Here is a 26,766-nt window from a genome sequence, read left to right as displayed (position 1 = left end):
TACTCGACTGGTCTAAAATGTAAATTTTTCTTAATCTTGTTTATTCTCAAAACAAACCAAATCATACCTAACTTCTTGCTACAGAAAAATTTCAGTGCCATCCTTAACTTGGGACTCAGCTCAGCCTGCAAAATCATCTCAAGGAGTAATTTGGGGTAAAATGAGGTCAAATTAAGGTAATTTAAAAATAGACATAATAAAAATAGTGCCATCCCTACCATCACTTCTACAAACCTATAAGAGATGTTGTGATATATGGATTCATTTAGCATACTTATCTTTTGGTAATAAAATGTAATTAACTTCATGATAAAACTGATTTTAGCAAAAAGCTGATGCAGTTTTTCTGTGTAACAGAGCCAATACGCTTGGTTTTTTTTATGAATCTTTCGAACAAAGCCAAACATTTGGAGAATAAAGGAACAATGATTTAAATCCAATGGCTGGGGGTCTGGGTAGATTTGTGATCCACTCCTTCTCAGGCAGGAATTACCTGCATACAGGACTAGAGTTCAGAGATATTTTCTAAATGTTGGAACGACTGTATTTTTCTTTATCTTCTGTCCGTGTGATGTTTCTTTTTGCATTCCTTGTCACTCTTGACTTGCTATTTCTTATCCTAAAGAGACACCCAAACACTAAACAGTTTTCCCTCCCTTCCAAAAGTACTATATAGTAAAGGTTTCGGAGAATTAAATAGCTAACCCTTTCTCCCCCTTGTAAATCTGGATCCCAATTGAGAAATACAATACAAAAAAGAATGGACACTGGCAAAGAAAATAGCAGCTTGACATTAGTAAAAGCTGGATTGGAGGATGTGTATTAGGCCCACAGACAAATGGGCTTGCAAACACTTTCCCCTAGAACCAGAACAGTACATGCCACACCCACAGGACAGGCCTCTTTTGGTATGAGGGAGCATTTGGGCCAACCCGTCTTCCAAACAGGGGACCCCAGAATGGGCTAAGTGCCCAGTACTTTCCCCCGGACTCCTCCATCAGATAAGTCTCTGGTGAGGCGGGAGTCAGGGATGACACAGGCTAGGAATGTAACTTTCATCCACATGGAAACAAGAGGGCAGAAAGAAAGGAGGTTGTCCCACCACACAGCTATTCGTTCTTTAAACTTGGATTTTCCCAAGGCATGCTGGAGTTCCTTCCTACAGTACTGACGGTGATTCCGAGGGACCTGTGCTGTCATAAGGTTGATGTGTTTTCTCAAGTTGGATTCCCAGTGAGACAGACTCTGGGATGGAGACAGCACTGCAGGAAGTTTGTGGGGTGTGCTCTCACAATCAATGACTGTCCGGGGTGAAGGAGGCAGGATTGGGCAGGGGGAAAGTGCTGTGCAGTCACAACAAAGACCCCAGCTGATCTCCTGGTAGGGGCTGTGGGGATGGGAGAGACACGCCCAGTGTGCCCATCTTTATAGGCCAGCGGACTCCTCCTGAACTGAGGCAAGGGGGCTGGACTTTCCACCTTCAGACCGTATGGTCACTGAGAAGGGGGTGTAATTTGCGGTAGAGTGGCTCTCTCAGTAGATGGCAATTCCTAGAAAAGGGGCTTAAGTGTCAGTGGCCAACAGTTCCAGCAGCTGGTGAAGTGGCTGCTTCCATCCTGAAAGGAGGGGGCTGCGGATCCCGGCAGTGACTGCAGCATCCACAACTTCAATGAAGGAAGTCGAATGCAATACATATACCACCTAACGCTCAAGGAAGTAAACTGTGTTATGGTTCTGTCTTCATCCTACATTATTTCCAACAGGCATCCAACAAGCATTACCACGTGGCCCTTCCTCCTCCATGCCATGAAGCATGAAACCTGTCACATTTCTCCCAGCCCTCTACAGAACTCTATCTACGCACATCCTTTTCACATTCACTCGTGTTCCAGAGGTGTACACCCTCCCTTCAAGGTGTATCCCTTTCTGTTGATTTTCCTCCCATATCCTTCAGAATCATTCCTTAGTATGTGACCTATTTTTCCTTCATTTTCAAGCTCTCCCTCTCAACTAGTTCTTTCTTTTCCCCCATTTATATTATCTAGTTTCTCTCATTCTTTTTTAAAAATTGTTTAAAAAATTTTTAAAGAGATGGGGTCTCACTGTATTGCCCAGGCTGGCCTCAAACTTATGGTCTCAAAGGATCCTCTCACCTCAGCCTCCCGAGTAGCTGCAACACCATGCCCGGCTCTTCATTCTTAATTTTTTTTAAAAAAAGAAGTTTCATCACCTTGGATCCCTTTCTGGCTATCATTCATTTCCCAAATTCAGGTGTGTAGGAAATGTAACATTATTTCTAGAACTCAACTCCATTTCTATTTTGGGCCTCCATTTTGCTGCGTGGTTGGAAAGTTCCTATCTGCCTGGGATTGTGATGATGCTCTGGAGGGAAGGCAGTGGGGAGAGTGACTTGCATGGGAGCAATTTGTCTGGACAGAGAAGGGCTACTTGTCTTGGTTGTCTGTTCATACTGTTGTCCTCTGAGATATTGGTCATCTTGATTGCCCCTTGATTGTTTGTCCTCAAAGTTACTTCTGATCTGTTCCTCTCTCCCCTCATTTCCATTTGCTGGTGTGCTGGAACCATGATGCTGATCCTGCACCATTGTAGGGCATGGAATCGCAGAAATCGTCCTAAATCCTGTGCAAACTCAGAAATCCTGATCACACTGGGATTACTGTGTTGCTGCCCAGGTTACACTGGGCCCCAGGATGCCCCGAGGGGCCTGCCTTCATTCACCATCAGGACATATCTACATCTGGTCCTTCCTTCCATCTAGGCTCCCTTAAGGAAAGGAAGCACAACTTCCCTCTTCTTTGGGAATCCTGAAGCCTGTCAGGTTGTTCACTCATCCTCTTTCTTGTGCTGTCCCCATGGGGCAGGTAATAGAACCAACCTCTCTTCCTCCTGCTAGACTGACATTCTTTCTAGTGGTGGTGGTGGTGGTGATGTGCATGAAACCTTGTTCTTACAGCATCACATCTTCTCCCTCATCTACTGTTTTAAGCCCCAGAGTCATTTCTATTTCCCACTGAGGGCTAGGCTTCTGAAACTACAAAGCCAGGAAAGGTCCTTTCGTCATTTCTCTGCTCTGTCATCTGCTTCCTGAGGCAAGGATCTTCTAGTTCACTCGACAGCCAGTAAGGACCATGGGGAGTCAGAAACTAGGGAACAACAGTTAATATCCCGGACTACTGTAACGTGCAGCTAGATGTAAGCAAAGTGCCGGCACAGAACTTGGCTCCCAGCAGGTTTCAATAAATATCAGTTTCTCCCCTCATCTCTCCTTGTTTCCCTCTTCCTCAATTTAAAGGCAGTTCAACGAAGCTTTCAATCCCATTACACCATGAAATTACTTCAACCAAGGTAAGCAATGACTTCCCAATTGTAAAATTCTGTAGGCAATTATCAGACTTGATCTTTTATTTCACCTCTGTGCAACATTCCCACTGCCAAACGCTGCCTTTTCTTGACATTCTGTCCCACCTTGGCTTTCATAACTCGTTTTCTCTTCCCACCTATTTGACTTTTTTTCCTCCATCTCCTTTTGCCCTCCAGTGTTAGTGCTTCCTAAGGTTTGGTTCTTATATCACATTGCTATTCGGAGCCACTTACCCCACGCTCTGATGCAAGCCTACATCCAGACCAAGTCTTTTAGTCAGATCCCTCCATTTCCATATTCAAAAGTGCTTCTGATATTAAATCAGTAGAGCGCTCAGTGGAGCACTTTGCACAAAGTAAGAACTCAACCGTGTTAGCTATAGTGTGGATTGCTCTATCTACCTGGAAGTCTCACAGGTGCATTTGCATTTTAACATGTCCAAAACGACTCATCTTCTTTTCTCTTCATAACCCGGCCTCTTGCCAACCTTATTCTCCAAAATTAGCAACAATAACCATAGTGTGTGCATGTTTGTCCATACACACACAGTCCATTCCTCCTCCCAGTGCCAGGGAGGGGAGAATTCTGGGCATCATCCTTCACTCCTTCTTCTATTTACTACCCCTCTGCCCGCCAACTGATCACTCATTCCTGTTGATTCTATATCATAAGTTATTTAAGAGTCTTCCTTCTCCCTCTCCACTGCTCCTGCATTCATATAGACAGCTCAAACTGGACTTGAATTATCGTATCACTTATGTCACTGAGACCTTCCCCCACCTATTTTATTTTCTTGGAGTCCCCAGTGTTATTCTCTTGTGTTTTTTGGGGTGCTCTTTTCACTGCAGGAATGTCCTCCTCCCTCTGCCTGATCAACTTTGGACCTCATTTTAATGCTCAGCTAAAATATCAATAACCTGTCTTTAGGTTGACCTGACTTACTCCCTCTCATTTCACTATTAATTGCTCCCAATGGTGTGTTCTCATACCCTTTTATACATATTTCTCTCATAGCACTTATTTGTTTTATAGTCACTTATTCATGTTGGTCTCCCTGGTAGCTGGAGCTTCTTGGAAGGAGACTCTGTGTTGAACTTAAATCGATCTCTAGACCTTTATCTATAGAGAGAGTCAAGAAATGTTTATGGAATTAAGTTGAAGTGAATGCCAAAATACAAACTGTATGATCTAAGGCTTAAAGCATTTTATCAGGGAAGACAATGGGACTAGGTAAATATGCAAATAAGTTTTATGATACCCTGAGTGGAGATTTAAGAAAAACAGGGTTATCATAACCACCATTAAGGAGAGAGTGCATGAAGAGTAATGAAAATTGGAGTCTTTTTCCTCACTCTTCATAAGTTTTCCCTTATGGATTATTTGAAGAAGCTTCTGCTCATAAATACGATTTCTAGATGTCACATAACTCAAAGACTTTCTCAGATATTTGGAAGAAGAAGACAGCTATAAGGAAGTAACTTTTCAGAAGATGAGGGGTAGAAAGAGACAAGGTAGGCAAACATGACATGCGTATTTATCAAATTGTTATTCTCTGAACATTGTATACTCAAAGATCCCAATAGCACTTTGAATGAAGCAAGAAAAAGTTAAGGAGTTTAAACTACGCCCCAAAGTCCAATATTTTCTCAATTTTTAATACCTTGATAAAGAACAAAGGAAGGCAAACCCTCTCTTTGGTAATCATAGACATTAAAGGGAAATCAAGGCAGTCTTACATTATTTTTAAAAATCTGGCCAGGTGTGATGGCTCATGCCTGTAATCCCAGCACTTTGGGAGGCCAAGGCGGGCGGATCACCTGAGGTCAGGAGTTCGAGACCAGCCTGGCCAACATGGCAAAACCTCCCTCTACTAAAAGTACAAAAAAAATTAGCCAGGCATGGTGGCACACACCTGTAGTCCCAGCTACTCGGGAGGCTGAGGCAGGAGAATCACTTGAACCTGGGAGGCGGAGGGTGCAGTGAGCCAAGAATGTGCCACTCCACTCCAGCCTAGGCAACAGAGCAAGACTCCATCTCAAAAAAAAAGTATGCAAAAATCCATCATTTATGATTCATGCCTGCATCTAGAGGTTTTCATAGCTCAGCATGACCTTTGTGCAAGTGACCGACTCTCATACAAATTGTACATTTATCCTTTTTTATACTTGATTTTGTGGCATCTATATCATAGCATCTTCTGAGATAAAATTTCAAAGGGTTCAACTTTAAATTGCTTAATAAAAAATTTGAGAAATTAGCTAAGGGCAAGAGTCTCTAAAAATATTTAATAGTAACGTAGGTAATAATGTATGAAAAAGGCAATTTGTTGGAACATATTTATCAAACAGAAATACAAATATGTAGAGAAGACACTATTTTAATTAATTTTGTGCCTTGAACACCTGTTAAATATCTTATTCAGTAATAGCTGATAATTTTTTAATACATGTGAGCACACATCTAAATAAGCAACAGAGAAAATAGTTACAGCATAGAGAAGATTTTTTTGTCTTTTTTTGAGATAGAGACGTGCTCTGTCACCCAGGCTGCAGTGCAGTGGTGCAATCATAGCTCACTGCAGCCTCAACCACCCGGGCTCAAGTTATCCTCTCACCTTAACCCCTTCAACCACCAATAGCTGGGACTACAGGCGTGAACCACCATGCCTGGATAATTAAAAAAAATAACTTTAGTAGAGATAAGGTTTTGCTATGTTGCCCAGGCTAGTCTTGAACTCCTGAGCTCAAGTGATTCTCCTGCCTTGGCCTCCCAAAATGCTGGGATTACAGGCATGAGCCACTGCATTTTGAATGAGGCAAGAGAATATGCTTTTTAATAGGAATTTTAAATTGAAGTTTCAACTGAGATCTCAAGATACAAAAGTATGAAATTTCAAGCTTGGTCACTATTATGAAGGAAAGAATTCAAAACCAAATCTATGACTCAAATACTCTCATCCACTTAAAACATATACAATAGTGGAGAAAATTCAAGATAGGTTTGTGGAAGGGAGACTTGCACTCATCACCTCCTGTGCAGAGAAAATGGAGGATGTTTCTTCGGCTCATGCCGGGGACTTCCACGGGTTTCCATTGATTGTGTGGAGAGCTTGGAATGTGTTTCCTGCAATGGGGGTTGGATGCAGGGCAGGGGCATTTTGTGGACTGGGATCTGACTCCCATTCAGAAAACTGGGAAACAGGCTGCCCAACTGCTTGGAAGAGAATGGCCTGCTGGGCAAAGAATGTTTCAATGTTTTCTGTAGCCCAGAGTCCTATGGGAGGGAGAGAACTTGCCTGGAGCCATCTGGAGTTGCGCCTATGAGACTTTCTCCCAGAGGGGTGAGAAGACTCCAATAGGACTGAAGAAACTAAAGCTGAGGGGCCATCAGGAGCGCCAGCTGAAGGTAAGGGTGCATTACCCACATCGCAGAGATTGCAGTTAGGGTAGCCCAGAAGCAACTCTCCGAAAAGCCCCTGGACAGCTAGCATGAAGCACATGCCGGCAGCCTCATGGGCATGCTACCTGTACGGAATACAGGCTTGTGTACTTGGCTTAACGCTCTGCTCTCAAAAAGTTTTAAATTCTTAACTCTTCTCCAGCAAGGGGCCCAGCATTTTCATTATGCACTGGGCCTTGCAAATCATGTAGCTGGTTCTGTGTGCTAGGCTGAGAGAGTGCAAAGCTGGCTGACAGCGGTACCAGCTGGGTAAGAACTGTTTTGTCCTTCACCCAGAGACTGACTTGTGGAGTGGAAGAGGAAAATAAGATAGAGAAATAGAGAAGCTGAGCCTGCCTGCTTTCCCCACTACAAAGTTTGAATTCTAAATCAAATTCAGAGCTTTGATTCAAATCCAATTACTGAATCGAGATAGTGTTTGCAATTTAAAATGGTCATAGTTCTGTCTAGTCAACAGAAAAATTCTGAGACTGATTTTCTCCTACTATAAAAAGCCAGTATTATTTAACAAAATAGCACAGAATCAACAATTGAAGGACTTCATAGAGGGTTAAAATAGTGAGATGTAGATTTGAAACTTTTCAGTTAATTGTGAAAGTGTTTTGATTGGCAGAAGAAACTGTGTTTTAAAATGGATGGGGAAACTTTCTGGAACAGGACAGTATTTACATGAGATAACCGAGGAAGAAGTTGAGGTAATTATCCAGGTGAAGGTTGGAAATTTACTGTTGTTATTTCACTGCTAGCTGTTGCATGGGAAAGTCCAATCCCCACAGAGCTGATTCAGAAACAACTAGAAATGCACACCACCTCAGGAAGTTAACATTACATACTAAAATGAGGCTGTAGGATTATAATATGTATTAATTTATCACATACCACGATTCTCCTGCACAGCCAGGAATAATAATTGTGTATGCTTGTTGCTTTGGAATTAGAACATGAATTCTAGCTCGATGCTCCACAAGCAGTTATTTATTAGTGGTCAGTAACTTTTTGTGACCCAAGTGTCCTGAAATATTAAATGTAATGTCCAGAGATTGCTTAAGTTGCTAACAGATTTAGCCGTCTGACAATGAGAATATGAACAAAAAAAATTCATTCATACTCTAATAACATAGCAAAAAAATAAAACCTGAGAACAAAATAAGAGGGAGGTTTCCACAGGGCTTTAAGTAACCCAGATTCACACAGCACCAGATTAGTGATATATCTGGCCCTTGGCTATGCTCATATGTTCTTGTACAGGCACCTGGCCTGTGCCTTAAGAAAGACATCAGGACTTTGGGAGGCTGAGGTGGGCGGATCACGAGGTCAGGAGATCGAGACCATCCTGGCCAACATGGGGAAACCCCATCTCTACTAAAAATACAAAAATTAGCTGGGCGTGGTGGCAGGCGCCTGTAATCCCAGCTACTCGGGAGGCTGAAGCAGGAGAATCACTTGAACCCGAGAGGTGGAGTTGCAGTGAGCCGAGATCATGCCACTGCACTCCAGCCTGGTGACAGAGCCAGACTCTGTCTAAAAAAAAAAAAAAAAACAGAAAAACAGACAGACAGACAGACAGACATCAGGGAAAGGGAGAAAAAGACAATTAGTACTGATAACTATTGTAATGAACTGTGTGCCTTAGTCAGTTTGGGATGCTGTAAGAAAAATATCACAGATTGGGAGGCTTAACCAACAGAAATTTAAGCTATACTCCTTTAGAAATTGTTCTATTAATCATCTAGAATATATTCACTAATTACAGCTGTAGACTTAACGTGGTTATTTCAGAACCAACTGTGGCAGAGAGTGCCAATATAGATTTTTGTATTTGTTTGTAGCAGCTATTGTTAGTTTAACATAAATATATTCACATTTATGGTAAAGGAATCTTAGCTTGCTGACCACTCACTGTGTTTTAGATACTAATATTTCATAAAATTTAATTCACATAAGTTGTTGAAGTAGTTGTAACTGCCATTTCACAAATAAGGAAATATAAGGCTTAGAAAAATTAAGTAACTTGCCTGAGATGAGACAAACTCTGCAGAGAGAGGATTTGAACTCTGGTCTGCAAGTCTCCAAAGCACTTTTATGTTCTTTCCAATAAATCACGTTACATCCCAAGAGGAAAATACTATATAAACTGTACATAGTACACAGATTTATTAGAGCCGTCATTAGAACATTAGAACATGTATTTCTTCCACAAACAGGTATTCTGTGTCTGCTTTGTTCCATGCCCTCTCCTAGGATGACACACCCTTTCTATTAAGACAGAAGAGCAGTAACTTAATTTTTGTTATGTGATGCCCTGGTCTGAATTTTTGTGTTTCCCCAAATTCATAGATTGAAATCCTAACTTCCAAAGTGTGTTAGTAGATGGGGCCTTTGGGAGGTGATTAAGTCATGAGGGTTTGAGCCCTCAAGAATGGGATTAGTGCCCTTATAAAAGAGGCTCAAGATGGCTGGGAACATTAACTCATGCTGGTAGTCTCAGCTACTCAGGAGGCTGAGGCAGGAGGGTTGCCTGAGCCTAGGAGTTCCAGGCTACAGTGAGCTATGATCATGCCACTGCACTCCAGTCTGGGTGACAGAATGAGACACTGTCTCTAAAAAAAAAAAAAAAAAAAAAAAAAAAAAAAAAAAAAAAAACAAAGAAAAAGAAAAAGAGGTCCAAGAGAGTTCCCTCACTCTTTCTAAAATGTGAAGACACAGCAAGAAGTCACCACCTACAAACCAGGAAACGGAACCCTCTTTAGACACCAAATCTGCTGGTGCCATGATCTTGGACTTCCCAGCCTCCAGAACTGTTAGAAATAAATTTCTGTTCTTTATAAGCTACCTAGTTGATGGTATTTTGTTATAGCAGCCTGAATGGACTAAGACATTAGATGCTCTGAAATTCTAAATATCCTTCCAGTTTTAGTTACTCCCAAGAAATGGGGGAAGTACCAAGAAATAGCTCAGTATCAAACTTAGTCATTGGTAGTAAAGAAGAATGAACATTTTTCTTAAAATGAATAAATAACTAATACTGAGAAATGTTAATCTTAAGAATATTTGGTGTAATAAAGAATGAAGGCTTTCTTTGCAAAATTTAGGAGGGACATTCCCAGGGATGAACATGCTGGCTGCACTCCATATTACTGGATGTGATAACAAAATAGAGAAGAAATCTGCCACACACTCTGTATGGAGTACCGACATACCACAATCGGCAGATTCTACCAAATTCATACCGGCATAGTCTAAGAGAAAGAACAACGTTATTTAAATAAATAATATCCCTAATCAATAGTAATTCAATAACAAAATCAAACATGCTTTTATTATGGAAACTTATGAAACTACTATAGTCCACAAGCAAAAATTGAACAGAAATAAAAACTTATAATTCTTCAAATACATGAAGCCGAGAGTATATAATCCATTCTCACATACTGAATTTTAGGGTTTAATCCACCTAAGATTTAATGCAATCTGACCAGACTGGGAGAAATATTTTGAGGTAGTATGGCTCATAAGACACATTCAGTTCTTGTAAATATATTGATGTTAAATTTGGGAACAAATGAACATCTCACTGATAAGAGATATCTAGTAATTCAGTAATTCCGGATACTCTGACTCTCAAAAGTTAAGTATTTAAAGTTTCAGACACTCTTTTTAGTGCTGGTGTCATAAGGGACTATTTTCTTAAAAATAAAAAGCAAGTTGGGGTACTATGGAATAAAAATATGACCTATTTTTGTGTTTTACAGCAAGAAACCTGTAACCCAATAATTTTACCAATAGTGACTGTGAGAGGTCTGATAATTATGGGAATACATTATGTATATTTTATAGATACAACGAAAATAGGACAAAGTCTGTTTATTCATCAGCTCATAGCATGCTGGGAAATATGGGAAAAGGGGAAAGGCATGGTGCAGGACTTTCTCTCAGACGGACTGTGTTATCTTAAAATGGCAAATTTTGCTCCAGGGTGGTCAGGGAGACAAGTTTCCCTTACAAACGGAGAAAACTGACTTTTTTAAAAAACCCTTTTATTTGGTTTCCTACTCCTGTCCACAATCCCAACAGATGCACAGTTCATAAAAGATGTGAACCTGGAAGTATAAATATTAATACCACACAGTACATAAATACCAGGGGGCTACAGTATAAGAAAATGACTACCATAAGAGAGTTGTCAAGACATAGAAAAGCAGAGAATGAAGTGCATGTCAGGAGGAGGAACTCTTCTGCAGAAAGAAGCCACAGACATTAACAAAAATGTTGCAGTGGGAGAAAGTAACAGGTACATCAACAAGGCTAGAGCCACGTGGCGGGATAATAGGGATGCTGCCCAGGTGTTTCCAGAAGCGATAAAACTTGTAAACTTTTATAATTTTCTGAAGTGCGCTGCATGGTAAAATATGGTCATTGTGCAAAAAAGTTGTCCCCAATGCAGTCTCAGGAGTCACTGACTTCAAAATAAAGAAACGGTCTCTTCGTAGTAAATGTAGTACCTCGTGGCTTTCCCAAAGTCATTGAAAACGAATATCCCTAAAAAGGGTGTGATTTCAAGAGTGAATTACGATCCGCCCGCAATCTGTGTACCGTGTGTGGACGAATGCTTGCAGCGAGCGGTGCGGAAGGCTGTTCAGAGAGGTGTTTTTGGTCTGCCGTGGTCTCCTGGGATAGTCAGGAATGATTCTTGCTACGGGCTGACCCGGGTTCCCTCTTCCCCGAGGTGCAGGGGGTGGGGTCGGCTTCTGGACTGCTCCGCGCTCTCCGGTCCCTACCTCATTGGGCACCGCCCACTTCGTGGGCTTCCAGGTGCGAGCCCTCGCGCCGGGCCCATCTCCCCAAGGGGCCGCGGCGGACTGGAGGAGACGCCCGGGGCCTGGCGGCGCGCGCGTCCGCGGCCAGGGCGGGTGGGCGGATGCGCCGAGGAAGCGGCTGGGCGAGGAGCCTCCGCTCCCGGGCCTCGGGTGCCCGCCAAGGGCCACGCGGGCGAGGGGGAAACCCAGAACTTCCCGCCCGGGAGCGACTGCCCCCGCTCCCGGCTCTGGCTGGCTAGGGGGATGTTCTCGCGAGAGGAGAGGGGGCGCGGGGCACCGCTGGTTTGGGGGCGCGGGGAAGCCTGAGGACGAGGGCCGGGCAGGGAGGGGAGCAGAGGCGGCGGGCAGGGCCGGGGACGCGGGGAAGCCGCTCCCGCCAGTCGCCGAGAGCCAGCCCCTGACGTCAGGAGTTTTCCTCAAAGTCAACAACAAGCCCCGCGGCGACGGCGAGAACCGATCGGCGGCGGCCCCGAGCGGGAGGAAGGAGGGGGCGGGGAGGCGGCGGGGGGTCCCCTCAGCGAGGCGCAGCCCGGGAGGAGGCCGCAGAACCCCTCCCCGCGCCGGGCGCGCCCCGGGGCCCAGAGCCGCCGCCCCGCCGGCGTGACCCGGCCCCCGCCCGAGCGGTGTTTTCTGGTGATGAATTTGTAGCCGATATCCGATTCCCATGTAGAGTCTCCGCCTCCTCCTCTCCCCGCCGCCGCCCTCTCTCCTCCCTCCCCCTCCCGCCGCCGCCGCCGCCGCCGCCGCCTCCCGCTCCAGCTCCGCGGCCCGGCCCGGCCGGCTCCCTCCCTCCCTCCCCTGCAGCCCTTCGCTTGCCCTCCCGCCGGCCGCACCGGGCTCCAGGAGGCCAGAGGCTCTGTGGGGTGGGGGGAGGACAGGAGGGGAGGAGGAGGGAGGGGGGACCCCCGAGTCGCCCCCTCTCCTCCCCCCGCCCCCCCCCGGCTCCATCCTCCGCCGCCGCCCGAGCAGCTGCGGGGCCGCCACCGCCGCCGCCGCCGTTGCAGGTAACAGCCACCGCCCCCAACTCTAGCCCCCTCCCCGCCTGGCCTCCACTCCCTCCGGGCCCCGGGCCCCGGTCCGCCCTCCCTGCCTCCCTCAGGCGGGGGATGGCGGCGGGGTGGGGTGAGGCGGGGGCTTCTGGGTTGTCACCGCGCCGGGGGCGTGGGCGGGGGCTGGGTCACCGGAGGCTTCGGGTGTGGGTGTGGAGGCCGGGGGATGCCCAGCGCGGTTGACACCGACACCCCCCGCTTTCCGGGGAAAGCTGGGGGGCGGCGGTGCGCAGCGGGCCGGGGGAGGGGTGTTCCCGGCCTAGCGGTACCGTCTGTGTCTGGGCTGCCCCGGCCCGGCGCCTGCTGTCTGCGCAACTCTCGCTCCTTCCCCTCGCCCCTCCCCGCCCGGGCCGCGCGGCGTGGGGAGGGGGCGCCCGCCTGGACCGGGGGCGGCGGCGAGGTTATATAACGCGTGGAGCGCCGGTGTCAGTGTGTTTGGGTTGGGGGGAGGGAGCCGTCTGCCGCGCGCCCTGGCGCTGAGGCTGTCTGCGCGTGGGGTGGGGTGAAGGCGAGGATGCACAGGCGTCCCCGGGGTCTCCTTCCTTCCCCCACCCTTCCCCGCCACTGGCGCGCAGGAAAAGACGGCACTGGTGGGGTGGGGGGGGGGGTGTGTGTGTGGGAGGTGGGTAACGTGCTTGTCTGTGTTTTTAATAGTAGTGGGGTTTTGATCCGCTTGGGAGTTGTGTGCTAAGAATAGAAATGTGCGGAAGATGCTGGGTTTGGCTGATCCAGTGATGCTGTCGCTGCTGGCGGCGGCGGCAGCTCTGGCTGCAAGTAAACAGACCAGCCTCTTCCTTGTCCACCTCCTCCGGCGCATCGGTCCGCATCAGCCATGATGCCGGTGGGGCCCTTCAGAGCCCAAAGTTGAAGCCTAGCTGGTTGCTGTGTTGACCCTGACGCCGAGGCGGGGTCACCATCCCTTGTTTGGGATTTCCCGGGAATCTACAGTTAGCCTAGAGATAAAGAATCTCGTTGGGGCCAGGTTTTTCCAATACCGGTATTTACTGTTTATGTTCTGAAAGCAGAGGAAATGCTTACCCACAAGTCAAAGCTGGGATGCTCACATTTCTTCCATCAAAATAATGTTGTTATGAAAATAAAACCAACTCATTTCACCAATGTGGCATTTTGGTTGAAAGCCTGGTAGTTTGCAATTGATGAAGTTTCCAAATAGAAAGTCAACAGTGAAACCTATGCATCTATATTGGGTAATTTCTAGCCATAATAAAGTGTTCACACTTTGATTTTAGTTGAGGCTAAAGTAAAAAATAATGGCTTTTTGTAGTTAATACATTGGCAGTTGTCTCAACAGTTTAGACATGTGTTCCGTATTTGGTAAAGCATGGTCATATATGTCTTTTAGTAGAACTATACATCACTAGGCAACCACTGGGTTTTGTCAGTGGTTGAAGCTGACAAATGAGTGAAACTCATTGGTTTAGGTTATGTATTTACTTAGGAAAACGAAGGTGGAAGAGTCTAATAAAGATGGTGTAGGAAATGAAGATTAGTCTTCAGAACTTGAGTATCACTTGCAAAATATGTATAAACGAATACAAACATTCCGGGGGTGGTTGTCTAAAACATGAAAATATTTTATAATTAAAATAGCAACTTATTACTAAGTTACTAGTTTTCCAAGGTTTATGACTTAATGCACAATTATATGCAAGATATATATCCGGACTGTAATTGTTTTCCTTTTGCCAGTACATTATCTTGACTTGGAAAGTTTACCAAGGAGATAGTACTTGAAAGTTTACAGGGAGATGGTACTTGAAGATCTTTTTGTTTTCCTTACTAGGGTTGACCCCAATATCTTTGATTGGCTTGAGGTTCCAGTTTTAAAGTGAGGGAGGACAAATATTACATGAATGAGACTGTTGAAATTTAGATGAATGTAGGGTTTTAGTTTTCAGTTGTGTATTTGCATTGTGGTTTTGCAGCATGTTTTCTTACAGCGTTTTAAAAATAGTCCAAAGTAATCCTGCAAAAATTGTGAAATTATTATTTGTATTCATTTGGTTTTCTTTCCATAATTATTACTGGAGTGAATTGTTTTCCAATTTAAAATTAATTTTTGGCTTAATAATCTTGACATCGACTCTAAATTGTATATGTCAGAGTACTTTAAGGTTTTGCTTTGGACTTTTTAAAAATTAATTTCATAGCTGTAAAATATTTTAAATAAGATTATATTTAACAAATACTGGAGTGTGAACTGTGTGCTGGTTTAATTAAAAACTTTTAATATTTACATTTCATTCAGAAAATCACTGTCAGAAGGAATCTGTTTTCAGAATCACTGCAAATCTAAATAAACGTGTTGATTAAACTTACTAGGGAACAAATGGACTTAGCATAGAGACTTGTGGAAAGTAAGGACTTATTTTTTAAGCTGTAGCTTTTGATGTAAACATCAGAAATTTTCTCATAAAAATTCAGTGGAAATTTCCAGCTATCTGGGTTTCTTTAAAATGAGGAACCTGTTTTACAAATTGATTTTGTAGAAGTTTAGCCTTTACTTAAACTTTGTGTATTTTCGTGAAAAGATAGCTATGTTTTCTTTTGTTATTATATCTTTTAGTTCAAGAATTTGTCCTTGGGAAGGTAAGGCAATCACTGTTAACAACTTGTTAGTTGGATGCTTAGCATGATTTGATAGGAGCTTGTCTTTATAGTGTGATTAAGTTTTGAAGTGTTAAAAAGAAAAATTTAAAACTATCTTAGATTTGAGCAACAAAATGCAAGAACTGAAAAACCATTTTCATTTTGAGCAAATCAGTCTTGTGATCTGACTGGCATTTTTATTTTTAAGTTAATATGCATTAATAATACAATTAATTTTTGTTAGAAGATTTGTGTTACTCCAGGTTTCAGCATGTGCATCAGTATTTTAAATCCTGGTCACACAGCATACCTTCTTTTGGAAAGATAGTCCTGAATCTTCCGACAACAAATACTTTGTCCTGATCTTTTACATGGGATAGGATTAGATTCAGTTTAGAGTTAATGCTAACCAATGCCTGGTAAGCAGTTGCCATGTGCCAGGCACTGTTCTATGTGCTTTACCTGTATTCATTTAATCTTTCAAACAACCCCTGCTACACTTTTGAAAGTGATTTTCACATAAGAAAAACTTATTGTGGCATTCTAAAAATACCTTTTATTTAAACTTTCCTAATTCTGCAACACTTCTAGTGTTTTTCTTGTTTGTACCTATTATTACAGTTAACAGTGATAATTCTAAATTTGCAAAATTTGGTACAATAATTTCCATAGCATCAAGTTAATAAAAGTGTATTGACTGGCCCATTAACATCACCTTTCATTTGTTTAAAATGCCAAATTAAATAACTCAAATGTTTACAGATTTTATTATAGCATCATAGTCTTTAATCAAATTAGATGTAAACTCATTTTCTCTGCCAAGTAATCTTTGAATACTAATGGGTAGATAAAATTAATATATGCTTCTTGACTTGTTGATGTGTTTTTTAGTTCTGTTTCTTTTCAGTACTCTATCACCAACTACAGGTATTTCTCATTTCTAAATATTATGAGAGGAAAGTAAAAAGATTTACTAGAAGAAAACACTAGAATTGCAAATGATAATTTTTCTTCCCTATATTAGATAATTCCTATATATATATGGATGGATTTAAAAAAATTTATAATTAGGGAGATTCCCAAGACAGATTTTAGGAGGATTTTACATGTATATTGGAATCTATATTAGAAAGCTTCTGACTGTATTTGGGGGACTAGGGGATGGGAGGGGAAGGAGGACAGTATTTTTCCAATAATGGAGCTTAGCCCAAATTTTGTCTTAGTTGAAATGCTGTTTGAATGTTTTATCTTCCAATTATCAAACTTTTGAGGACATGAACTATGTATGTATAATCATGTCTTTCACTTATGATGCCATCTATATATGAAGTAGATACTCCGTAGATTTTAACTTGCAGAATCATAAATATTAGCTCTGGAAGAGCTATAAAGCTATTCAGAGTTCATCTAATGCTATACTTTCATTTTTATGGCTCCGGAAACTGAGGCACAGATAATTAAAGTGACCTTATACAGCATCACTCTGGGTGGGGCAGGGACTCAAGTTTCTTGGTCTTTCTGGTGCTCTTCCTAATACACCATTGTGATGAACCTTGTTAGAGGATTCCATACCTATTGGGTAGCTCAGTTTAATCTGGGGGTAAATTCTGTCAAGCTGATTCTTGGTATTTAATGGACCATATATCAATTGCATTTTATATGTATGTATGGATTTTTAAAAATTTATGATGAGGCTCCCAAGACAGATTTTAAAATGATTTTACATGCATATTACAAAAATATGGCCAACTGTGCAACCAAATTCTTTTTCTTTTCTTTTCTTTTTTTTTTTTTTTGAGACAGGTTCTCACTGTAGCACCCAGGCACGGTCACCACTCAGCATAGCCTAGACTTCCTGGGCTCAGGTGATCCTCCCACCTCAGCCTCCTGAGTAGCTGGGACTACAGGTGCCTGCCACCACTCCCAGCTAATTTTTGTATTTTTTGTGGAGATGGGTTTTGCCATGTTGCCCAGGCTGGCCTTGAACTCCTGGACATAAGTGATCCTCCTGCCCTGGCCTCCCAAAGTGCTGGGATTACAAACTAATATCCCTTTTTGACACTCTACAGCAACAGACTCATGGTGATTTTGAGGAGTCTCAGCCTTACCTATAGGTTCTGCCTGTGACCTCATAATACATGAGGCTGGTGGTCTTGCATTCAGCTACATAGCTTTTGTCAGGCTATTTAGTCAGGCTGTCTAGAGAATGTTTAGTCTTGATTCCTGACTGTTAAATGGTTAAGCTCCACACTTAATTTGCATTGAAGAATGACCTGTAGTCTAATTTAGCGCTAGGTTGGGAGTCTAACACTGAACTTAACTGCTATGTATCATTTATCACAAACCAAGTTGAGAGAGTATGTTTGTGTAGTCCATCTATCCATTTTTCTAGTTATCTAAAATTTATGATATGATTCTTGACCACATAACACTGGTGTACCTGGACCACATTTTTTGGTCCCCTTCTGTGCAAATGGATTTACTAATTTTATGTTGGCATTTTCCTTTTTAGTTTGAGAGTGACAATAAGCAATGACCCTGTAAAACTCATTGCTGTATATGGGAGGGTGTTTTTGAGGACTTTCCCGCATACATCTTATGAAGAAGACCCATGGGATAAATTCGATGTTTGTCCCAGGAAAAGTTGTATTTCTTCTGAGGAACTTTTTTTGCTTTTTAAAAAAATTTGTGCAGCGTGGACAATATAGCGGGACCCCATCTCCACAAAAATTTTTTTTAAAAATTAGCTAGGCATGGTGATGCCTGCCTGTAGTCCAGCTCCTCAGGAGGCTGAGGTGGGAGGATTGCTTGACCCCCATTGGAGGCTGCAGTGAGCTATGATTGTGCCACTCTACTCTAGCCTGGATGATGGGGGGAAACCCCATCTCAAAAAAAAATTTTTTTTGGATACTGTAAATAGGAAAGCCTGTTGTGTTTTGTTATTTGCATTGTCTTCCCAAGAGCTCCATGCCAAATTTGTGACGTATCTTTCCCAAGTATGTATGCCTTTACTCTGACTTCTTTTTATCTTAAGGCAGTATAGTTTTGGAATGCAGGCTCTGGAGTCAGACAGCCTGGGTTCAGATCTTGGCTCCACATTTACTAGGTGTGTTGAAATTGAGCAAGTTGGTTTATCTGTGTGAGCCTCAGTTTCCTTGTCTGTGAAATGGAATTAATAGTATCCTCATAAGGTTATAAAGATCACATAAGAATAATAGATGTAAGTACCCGTAACAGTTCTTGGCACATCTTGAGTACTAAATATTTTTTTCTACTTTCATATTCCCTTTGTTTCACTTTACTTTATAATAAGTACATAATATGAAATCAATTATTTTTTAATCTCCTTAAAATATTTCTTGGAACAGGCAGAGTAAGAATACGTAAATGATGAGTTCTTGGTACGTTGTATTTTATATCACTTAAAGTATTCACGACTGGTTGTGGTGGCTCACTTCTGTAATCCCAGCACTTTGGGAGGCTGAGGCGGGTGGATCATGAGGTCAGGAGTTTGAGACCAGCCTGGCCAATATGGTGAAACCCCGTTTCTACTAAAAATACAAAAATTAGCAGGGCGTGGTGGCGCACACCTGTAGTCCCAGCTGCTTGGGAGGCTGAGGCAGAAGAATCGCTTGAACCTGGGAGGTGGAGGTTGCAGTGAGCAGAGATCGCGCCACTGTACTCCAGCCTGGCGACAGAGTGAGATTCCGTTTCAAAAAAAAAAAAAACAAAAAATTTACAATTGCTTCTGAAATTACAGGGATTTAGGGCAATTAACTTTCATTCTCTTCCCTCTTCACCTCAAATACACATCACCAAACAAATTTTCTCTATTATTTGGGTAGGCGTGACTGGTTTTCTTAAGACTTTTTTGTTGCAACCTCTTAGGTTAAAAGTTTCACTATCATTTGAAATTGGTCACAAGACTAGGGAAGTGCTTTCATTATAGAACTATTTAATAAATAAGTTCCCCAGTTTGAAGAGCCAGACTTTTATGTGAGGTCAGGCCAGTTGAAGACATTTACAAAGAATTAGTTGTTTGTTATTGCTCTGTGAGTTGCAAGAATGGAAAAAAAATTCTTTCTTCAATACTTCCTTCCAGGCTGAGTCATCACTAGAGAGTGGGAAGGGCAGCAGCAGCAGAGAATCCAAACCCTAAAGCTGATATCACAAAGTACCATTTCTCCAAGTTGGGGGCTCAGAGGGGAGTCATCATGAGCGATGTTACCATTGTGAAAGAAGGTTGGGTTCAGAAGAGGGGTAAGTGCTCCGCAAACCAAAAATAATACGGTTGGTAAGAGTGCTAGCAGTGAGTGGTGTCTTAGAAGTTGATCTTTTTTCTGATACTGTTAAACTGTGTCATGCTATGTCTAGTAAGAGAGAAATGATATATTTAACGTGTGTTAGGAATTTGCTTGTTATTAAGGGATTTTTTTGTAATTCTTGATTTTGAGCATTTATAATCTAGTTAAGTTAGGTTTGACTTTCTGGTATGTTGTGTGTAGCGTGTTACAGAAAGTGTTGTATTTTTCTGTGGTGTCTACAGGTTCTGTAATCTGGAGAGATATCTTTAGAATCATTTAATATATGTAAAAGTACGATCCTATATGCATTTAATCACATGTAAATATATAAATAAGAGAATTAAGCCAGTTTGAATGGTTGTAGGGGAATGGCTTAAAGTAGAAAAGGGGAAAGGGTTCACCCGCAAACTCATGGATTAATCCCATAAATTTGGTAAGTAAAGTCCTGACGTAAAAGGCCAAATGAGGACAAGGATTTTTTGTGTGTGTATGTTTATGTTTAATTTCGTATTTTTATTTTTCATCATCTAGGTTTAATACACCTTGTTCACTCCTACTTTAGATAAATAACTTAAGCACATTATTATTTTTTATTATTAAAGGAAGAACCCTTCGATGTAAAGCGGTTTATCATCTGTGAGATCACCTGCTTATGTGGTCAATATATTTATTAGAAATTTAGAGTTTAGATTAGTTGCTAGGCAACTACTGTTTACCCACATGGCCACGTCGAGTAGGATGAGGACTGTTCCATTCTCAGAACCTTTTAGTTCCTGTATATCTACTTTATGGTTACAAGTTCCCTCCTAATATTGATTTTAATATTTTTTGAAGGTCTGTAGTAAATACCTATCCTGAAAAGCTGTTGTCATAGTTAAATGTGATTATGGATTATTTTTTAAATGAGCCTTATTAAGTCGTAACTTACATAATAAAATTAAGCAATGTAAAGTCATAATTTGATGAGTTTTGCCAGAGATACACAGTAGTGTAACAAACACTCTGAAAACGATATAGTGGTTATTTTCATTAACCCGAGAGGTTCCTTTGTTCTCCCTTGCAGCCCAGTCCTCATCCCTTAACCCTGGCAACCACTTTATCTGCTGTTACTATAATTTTGCTTTTCTAGAATTTCATATAAATGGAATCATGCAGTACATAGTTTTTTTATGGCTGATTTCTTTTACATAGCATAATACTGTTAATATTCATCCATGTCTTGTATATCATTAGCTTTTTTTTTATGGTTGAGTAGTAGTTCATGGTCTGGATATATCACAGTTTATCTGTTAATCACTTGTTGGACATTTGGGCTGCTTCTAGCTTTTGGTTAGTACGAATAAAGAGTCTGGACATTAGAGTGCATGTCTTTGTGTAATGTGTTTTCATTTGTCTTGGGTAATAACTTAGGAATGATATTGCTGGGTCATATGGTAAGTGTGTGTTTAACTTTATAAGAAGTATATGTTTAACAAACTGCCCAGCTGTTTTCCGATGTGCCTGACCATTTGTATTGTCAAGTGTAATTTCTTTCAATGTCATTCTCCTGTTATAAATTACGAAAGCATTTTCAGATTTCAGTGCTTTATAAAGGCTTTTTTGATTTACTTTTTAAACGTATTTATATTATTCTACTTTTTTTGGAGGGGGATGGCAAATCACTTGAACCTTTTTGAGTTTTACTTTACTAATCTCTAAAATCTGCTTTCACAAGATGGTTTTGAGGGTTAAATGAGATGATGGTTGTGGATTTATTTTGACAGTTCTAACACAATGTAAGCTGTTGCTATCTCCACATATTTATCAAAGGTTTAGGATGATTCTTTAGTCTGTTTAATTAATTATATCTTTGAAATACCATAATAGAAAGTATTTAGTCCATGGACTATAGAAAAAAAAATGAATAAGAATTTGCCATCATTTTTCTAATAATGTGTATGTGTTTATTTTGAGATGTGTATGTGTATGTGTTTCTAATAATGTGTATGTGCTTATTTTGAGATGAATAGTTGCATAAACATAAAAATTTGAATAACACACAAAGGTATAAAATGAAAAATAAAAATCTCCCTATCTTTTCTACCTCCTTTGTCAGAGATAATCATTTTAGAACTTTTTTTCCTATTTTTAATTGTCTCATCATTATGCCAGTTTTTTATATAATATACTAAACTTTAACCTTCAGTAACCTAATATCTCCCCATTGTGAAAAATAGAAGGATTTAACTTTTAATACTGATCCTACCTTCTTCCTTTTATTTTTTGGTTGCCTTTATGATTAAACTTATAGCTGTTTAACAGTTAACTTTAGAGTGTTCAGACATTGTCTCTAAACTTGCCACTTTATAAGTTGTAAAAAAAAAAAATTAGCTTTTCTCCTCATCTTTCCCTTGAATTCCTCACATTCCCTTTCCAGTTTTTCAACTGTAACATTTATTTTATATGTCAAGGTTTATAATAGTTATACTTGCTGATTCTGAAAAGCAGTTAAAATATTACATTATATAAATAATATGACTAAACAAAGTGGTATGATGAGATTCTTAGAGAGCAAATGGATTTATTTTATTTTACTTTAAGTTCTGGGATACATGTGCAGAACGTGCAGGTTTGTTACATAGGTATACATGTGCCATGGTGGTTTGCTGCACCTGTCAACCTGTCACCTAGGTTTTAAGCCCCCCATGCATTAGGTCCTCATGCTCTCCCTTACCTTGCCCCCCACCCCCAGCAGGCCCTGGTGTGTGATGTTCCCCTCCTTGTGTCCGTGTGTTCTCATTGGAGAACAAATGGATTTCTTACGCTCTCTTTGTACTCCAGAGCTGCCATACTTTAATTTGGTTTCTAGTTTGGACTGTGGCTATTTTTCCTGGATTTTCTTTATTTTTATTTTATTTTATTTTATTTTTTGAGACGGAGTCTCGTTCTGTCACCCAGGCTGGAATGCAGTGGCATGATCTCGGCTCACTGCAACCTCCGCCTCCCGTGTTCAAGTGATTCCCCTGCCTCAGCCTCCCGAGTAGCTGGGATGCCACCATGCCAGGCTAATTTTTTGTATTTTCAGTAGAGACGAGATTTCACCGTGTTAGCCAGGTTGGTGTCGATCTCCTGACTTCGTGATCTGCCTGCCTTGGCCTCCCAAAGTGCTGGGATTACAGGCGTGAGCCACCGCACCCGGACCTTTTCCTGTATTTTCTGTTTTTTTTTTTTTTTTGAGATGGAGTCATGTTCTCCGTCTCATCAACAACAACAACAAAAAATTGATATAATAAAGTTATAATATAGTTATTACTTTGAATATTAGTCTTTTTTCGTAAGACTATATGCATCAATTGTTGTTATCTCCAGATATAATCTGATTTGTACTTTTAATGTGAGTAAGTTGCTTTTCAGTAAATATCTTCTTGGAAAATAAAAAAAGGGCTGAAAGATAAATATTCATTATTACGTAGGATAAATGCTTTCCTAACCTTGGTTATTAGTGATATATTAATAGTGATATCCTATTTTTTACACTTTTCTGGACAGTTGAAAATGATAAGTATTAATTGAGATAACACATTACCATAGTATTGTTGGTGTTAGAAATGGCAATAAAAGAAACATCACGGAGCAAACATCAAGTAAAGTATTGTCTGCGTTTTCCTCCTTGATGGATCCAGGACAGCTCCTTACAACTTGGTTGCACATCAGCATAGGAGGCATCTCTGTATATATTAAATACTTACTAAATGATCTTACTCAAAGACGAGCCTGTAGGTATGTTCTAGGTGACTCTAAATCTCTAAATTGGATTTCAGCACTTCTCTTAATTTTTTCCCTTATAGCTAGTGGTAATATTTGCTATGAAGGTACTTAGTGTATTAATAAAGTAGGAAATTTAGCCAGTTTAAAAGGTCTAAATTATAGAATTAAATAAATTGCAATAGTATTAATTAAGGGCTTATTATAATTTATTAACTTTCATTTGCTTAATAAAATTTCATAAAAACCTAAGTAGTCTTTTATAAATGTGGAAAGCTAGTTCCTTGATAATAAGTTAAAATATAATGTATAACTAGTCAATTCATAATGTTACTGTTTTGAGATTGTCATAAATCTAAGAGGTGATTTTTATCATTAAAAGCATTTTGATGAAAATGTTCCATGCTCGTGTTACTTTATTCTACTTTTTGTATTAGTATCTAACAAACTGAACTTTCATGTTGTATTCTCTATGTGTAACCAGTTTTGGCTTTCAAATAACTTTTTCCCTTAGTTTTCTTTGTACTGACTTTGTCCTTTGAATAATATTTTTCTTATATTCCATGAAATGGTTTATTTAGATGAACTACAGTGTCGGTATTTGGTAATGCCAGGATAAAGATTTTGTGTCTATGAGTTGTCTCACAAGATAGCTTAATTCTGCTGAGCAAAATATACTTTAGCAACATAAAGATTGTGAACTTGGTTATGCTGTAAGATGTGATTCTTGTTATCTAGTCAAATTTAACAAGTTGTTACAGAAAACAATTTACATTTTTGAGTGTTTATCTAAGTCCAGGGGTCTTTTCTTCTCCTTTATTTTGTGCATGCATGTGTTTTTTTTTGTTCATTTTTTATTCACAAAATGACTTTAGAAATAAGTTATAAAATGATTAGGAGAAAGAAAATGACAGTATGATTTCCTGTTTACTACCCAGCAGCAAGCTTTTTCCATAGAGAGTAAAGAGCTGTGGTAGTGACTGTGTAAACCACATGGTACATTAGAGAAGCTCACTTTGACTGTTGAGGTTATACATGGAGAGTAAACATAAGAAAATTAAATTTATTTTCTAATGGTATTGAAACTCTGAGATTTAACTAATGTATTTACAATACTGTGAAATTAGCTTTTCTTAGAGTTTCAATGTATTATTTTTGAAAGTTTCAACCAATAGAACCACATGGAGCAAACCATCAAATAAGCTTTCATATACATTTTGAAGTTATTTATAGAATTGTAAAGTTGCTGTTACACACACACTTGCTCCTTCTCAATCAACAATCAAGTTTTATGTATTGATTTTGTAAGTTGAAGTCTCATGAAATTCACTTATTAATGTTAGTTTAAAGATTTTCTACATAGATGGTCAAGTTATCTGCGAACATCCACAGTTCTGCTTTTTCCTTTCCAATCTTTATGCCTCTGATTTCTTTTTCTGATCATATTTCACTGGATAGGACCTCCAGTACATTGTTGAATAAAAGTGGTAAGAGTGGATATTTTGCTTTATTGCTCATCTTATTGGGAAAGCATTTATTTTACCACTTAAGTATCACATTAGCTGTTCCTTTTCTGTTGCTGCCCTTTATCAGGTTGAAAAAATTCCCTACTATTCCTAGTTCGGAGAGTTTTTATCATGAGTGGTGGTCAGTTTTTTCTAAAGATTTTACTGCTTCTATTGAAATGGTCATTTGATTTTTTCCTTTTATTCTCTTAATATGGTGAATTACTTTCATTGCTGGAATAAATTCCATTTGGTCATGGTGTATTTAAAAAAATATATTACCAATTTGGACTTACTGATATTTTGCTAAGGGTTTTTTGCATTTACAAGAGTATTGATCTGTAAATTTCTTTTCAGTTTTGATACAGTGGTTATGCTGGATTCATAAAATAGGTTGGGAAGCACTTGTTTCTCATAAGGTGGATTGTATTTTTTCTTCAGTGTTTGACAAAATGTATCAGTGAAGCCATGTGGGTTGGAGCTTTCTTTGTGGGAAGATTTTTGATGATAAATGAGATTTCTTTAGATACAAGGCTATCCATATTTTCTATTTCCTCTTGTGTCATTTTTGGTAAATTGTATTTTTTAAGGATTTCCTTTTCATCCAAGATGTTCGTCTAAGTTACTGGGTGCAAAGTTTTTAATATTCCCTTATCCTTATTTTTATTTTTTTAGTAGAGCCAAGATTTGCTCCATTGCCCAGGCTGACCTTGACGTCCTGGGCACAAGTGATCCTCCCACCTTGGCCTCCCCGAGTGCTGGGATTACAGGCTCCCTTATCTTTTGAATGTCTGTAAGATCTTAGCGATATCTCCTTATTAAATCCTGATATTGGTAAATTATATACTTGCTCTCTTTTTTCCTTTGATAATCTTGCTAGGAGTTTATTCATTTTATGAAATCTTTTTTTTTTTTTTTTTTGAGATGGAGTCTCGCTCTGTCACCAAGCTGGAGTGCAGTGGCGCAGTCTCAGCTCACTGCAACCTCCGCCTCCTGGATTCAAGTTGATTCTCCTGCCTCAGCCTCCTGAGTAGCTGGGATTTACAGTCATGTGCCACCATGCCTGGCTAATTTTCTACTTTTAGTAGAGACAGGGTTTCTCCATTTTGGTCAGGCTGGTCTTGAATTCCTGACCTCAGGTGATCCACCCGCCTTGGCCTTCCAAAGTGCTGGGATTACAGGCCTGAGCCACTGCACCCAGCCAACTTTTTAATGATTTTTTAAATGATCCATTATGTGGTCTTATCATTTGGTCTGTCTGTATTTTATTTTTTGGGGGTATAGTGTTATAAATATCTAGTCAAGATGATTGGTAATGGGTCATAGTCTTCTATGTCTTCACTGACTCGTTTTTTTTTTTTCCTCTAGTTCTGTGACTCAGTGTTATAGTCTCCAGCTATGATTGTGAATTTATCTGTTTCTCTCTTTAGTCCTACCTTTTTAATTTTATATATTTTGAAGCTCTATTATTAGAGGCTTTTTTGTTGTTATATCTTCTTGATGTATTGCTTCTTTTATCCTTATGAAATGTTCACCTTTTTCTCAAGTGACACTCTTTATCTTGGAATTCAGTTTGTGTGATATTAATATAGTAACTCCTGATTTTTTATGATTAGTGTTTGCATCTTGTATCTTTTCAACTGTCCTATTATATTTAGTCTTTGTTTTGTATTTAAACTGTTTCTCTCGTTGACAGCATATGTTTGGGTCGTGTCTTTTTTAAAAAATCTAATTTGACAATCTTTACCTTTTAAATGGGAGTTTTTAGGCCAGTCATATTTAATGTAATTATTGATATGATTGAGTTTTCTGTTTGTGTCATGTGTTCTTTGTATCTTTTCCCTATTTTTTTGCCTTTGTTAGGATTTAGTATCTTTTCAGTATCCTATTTTATCT

General features: G+C 40.3%; 1 protein-coding gene across 12 annotated transcripts in view, besides 1 other annotated feature; it reads left to right on the top strand.

Moving 5' to 3' along the window:
* Nucleotides 11,623-26,766, top strand: part of AKT3 (AKT serine/threonine kinase 3) — a 362,847-nt gene continuing 347,703 nt past the window's right edge. For 6 of the 12 annotated variants that reach the window (NM_001370074.1, XM_047420641.1, XM_047422391.1 and 3 more), the window contains exons 1-2: nt 11,623-11,653; nt 19,420-19,577. In NM_001370074.1, the coding sequence (NP_001357003.1) occupies nt 19,532-19,577 (46 nt within the window). In that variant the 5' untranslated portion in view covers nt 11,623-11,653; nt 19,420-19,531. Of the gene's footprint in view, nt 11,654-12,458; nt 12,663-19,117; nt 19,159-19,419; nt 19,578-26,766 lie in introns of those variants that run through there. The other 6 variants (NM_005465.7, XM_047415643.1, XM_024446892.2 and 3 more) reach the window with 3 other exon arrangements.
* Nucleotides 13,050-13,550: an enhancer, noted in NCBI's record as "H3K27ac hESC enhancer chr1:244012454-244012954 (GRCh37/hg19 assembly coordinates)". NCBI's record gives its function as "activates a minimal SCP1, AML or CMV promoter by ChIP-STARR-seq in naive H9 embryonic stem cells {active_cell/tissue: H9 hESC(naive)}" and the evidence as "EXISTENCE:reporter gene assay evidence [ECO:0000049][PMID:30033119]".

Source organism: Homo sapiens, chromosome 1 (genome assembly GCF_000001405.40).
Source record: "Homo sapiens chromosome 1, GRCh38.p14 Primary Assembly".
NCBI lineage: Eukaryota > Metazoa > Chordata > Mammalia > Primates > Hominidae > Homo > Homo sapiens.
The sequence above is the reverse complement of the archived record's forward strand: the minus strand, read 5'-3'. Positions and strand labels throughout refer to the sequence as shown.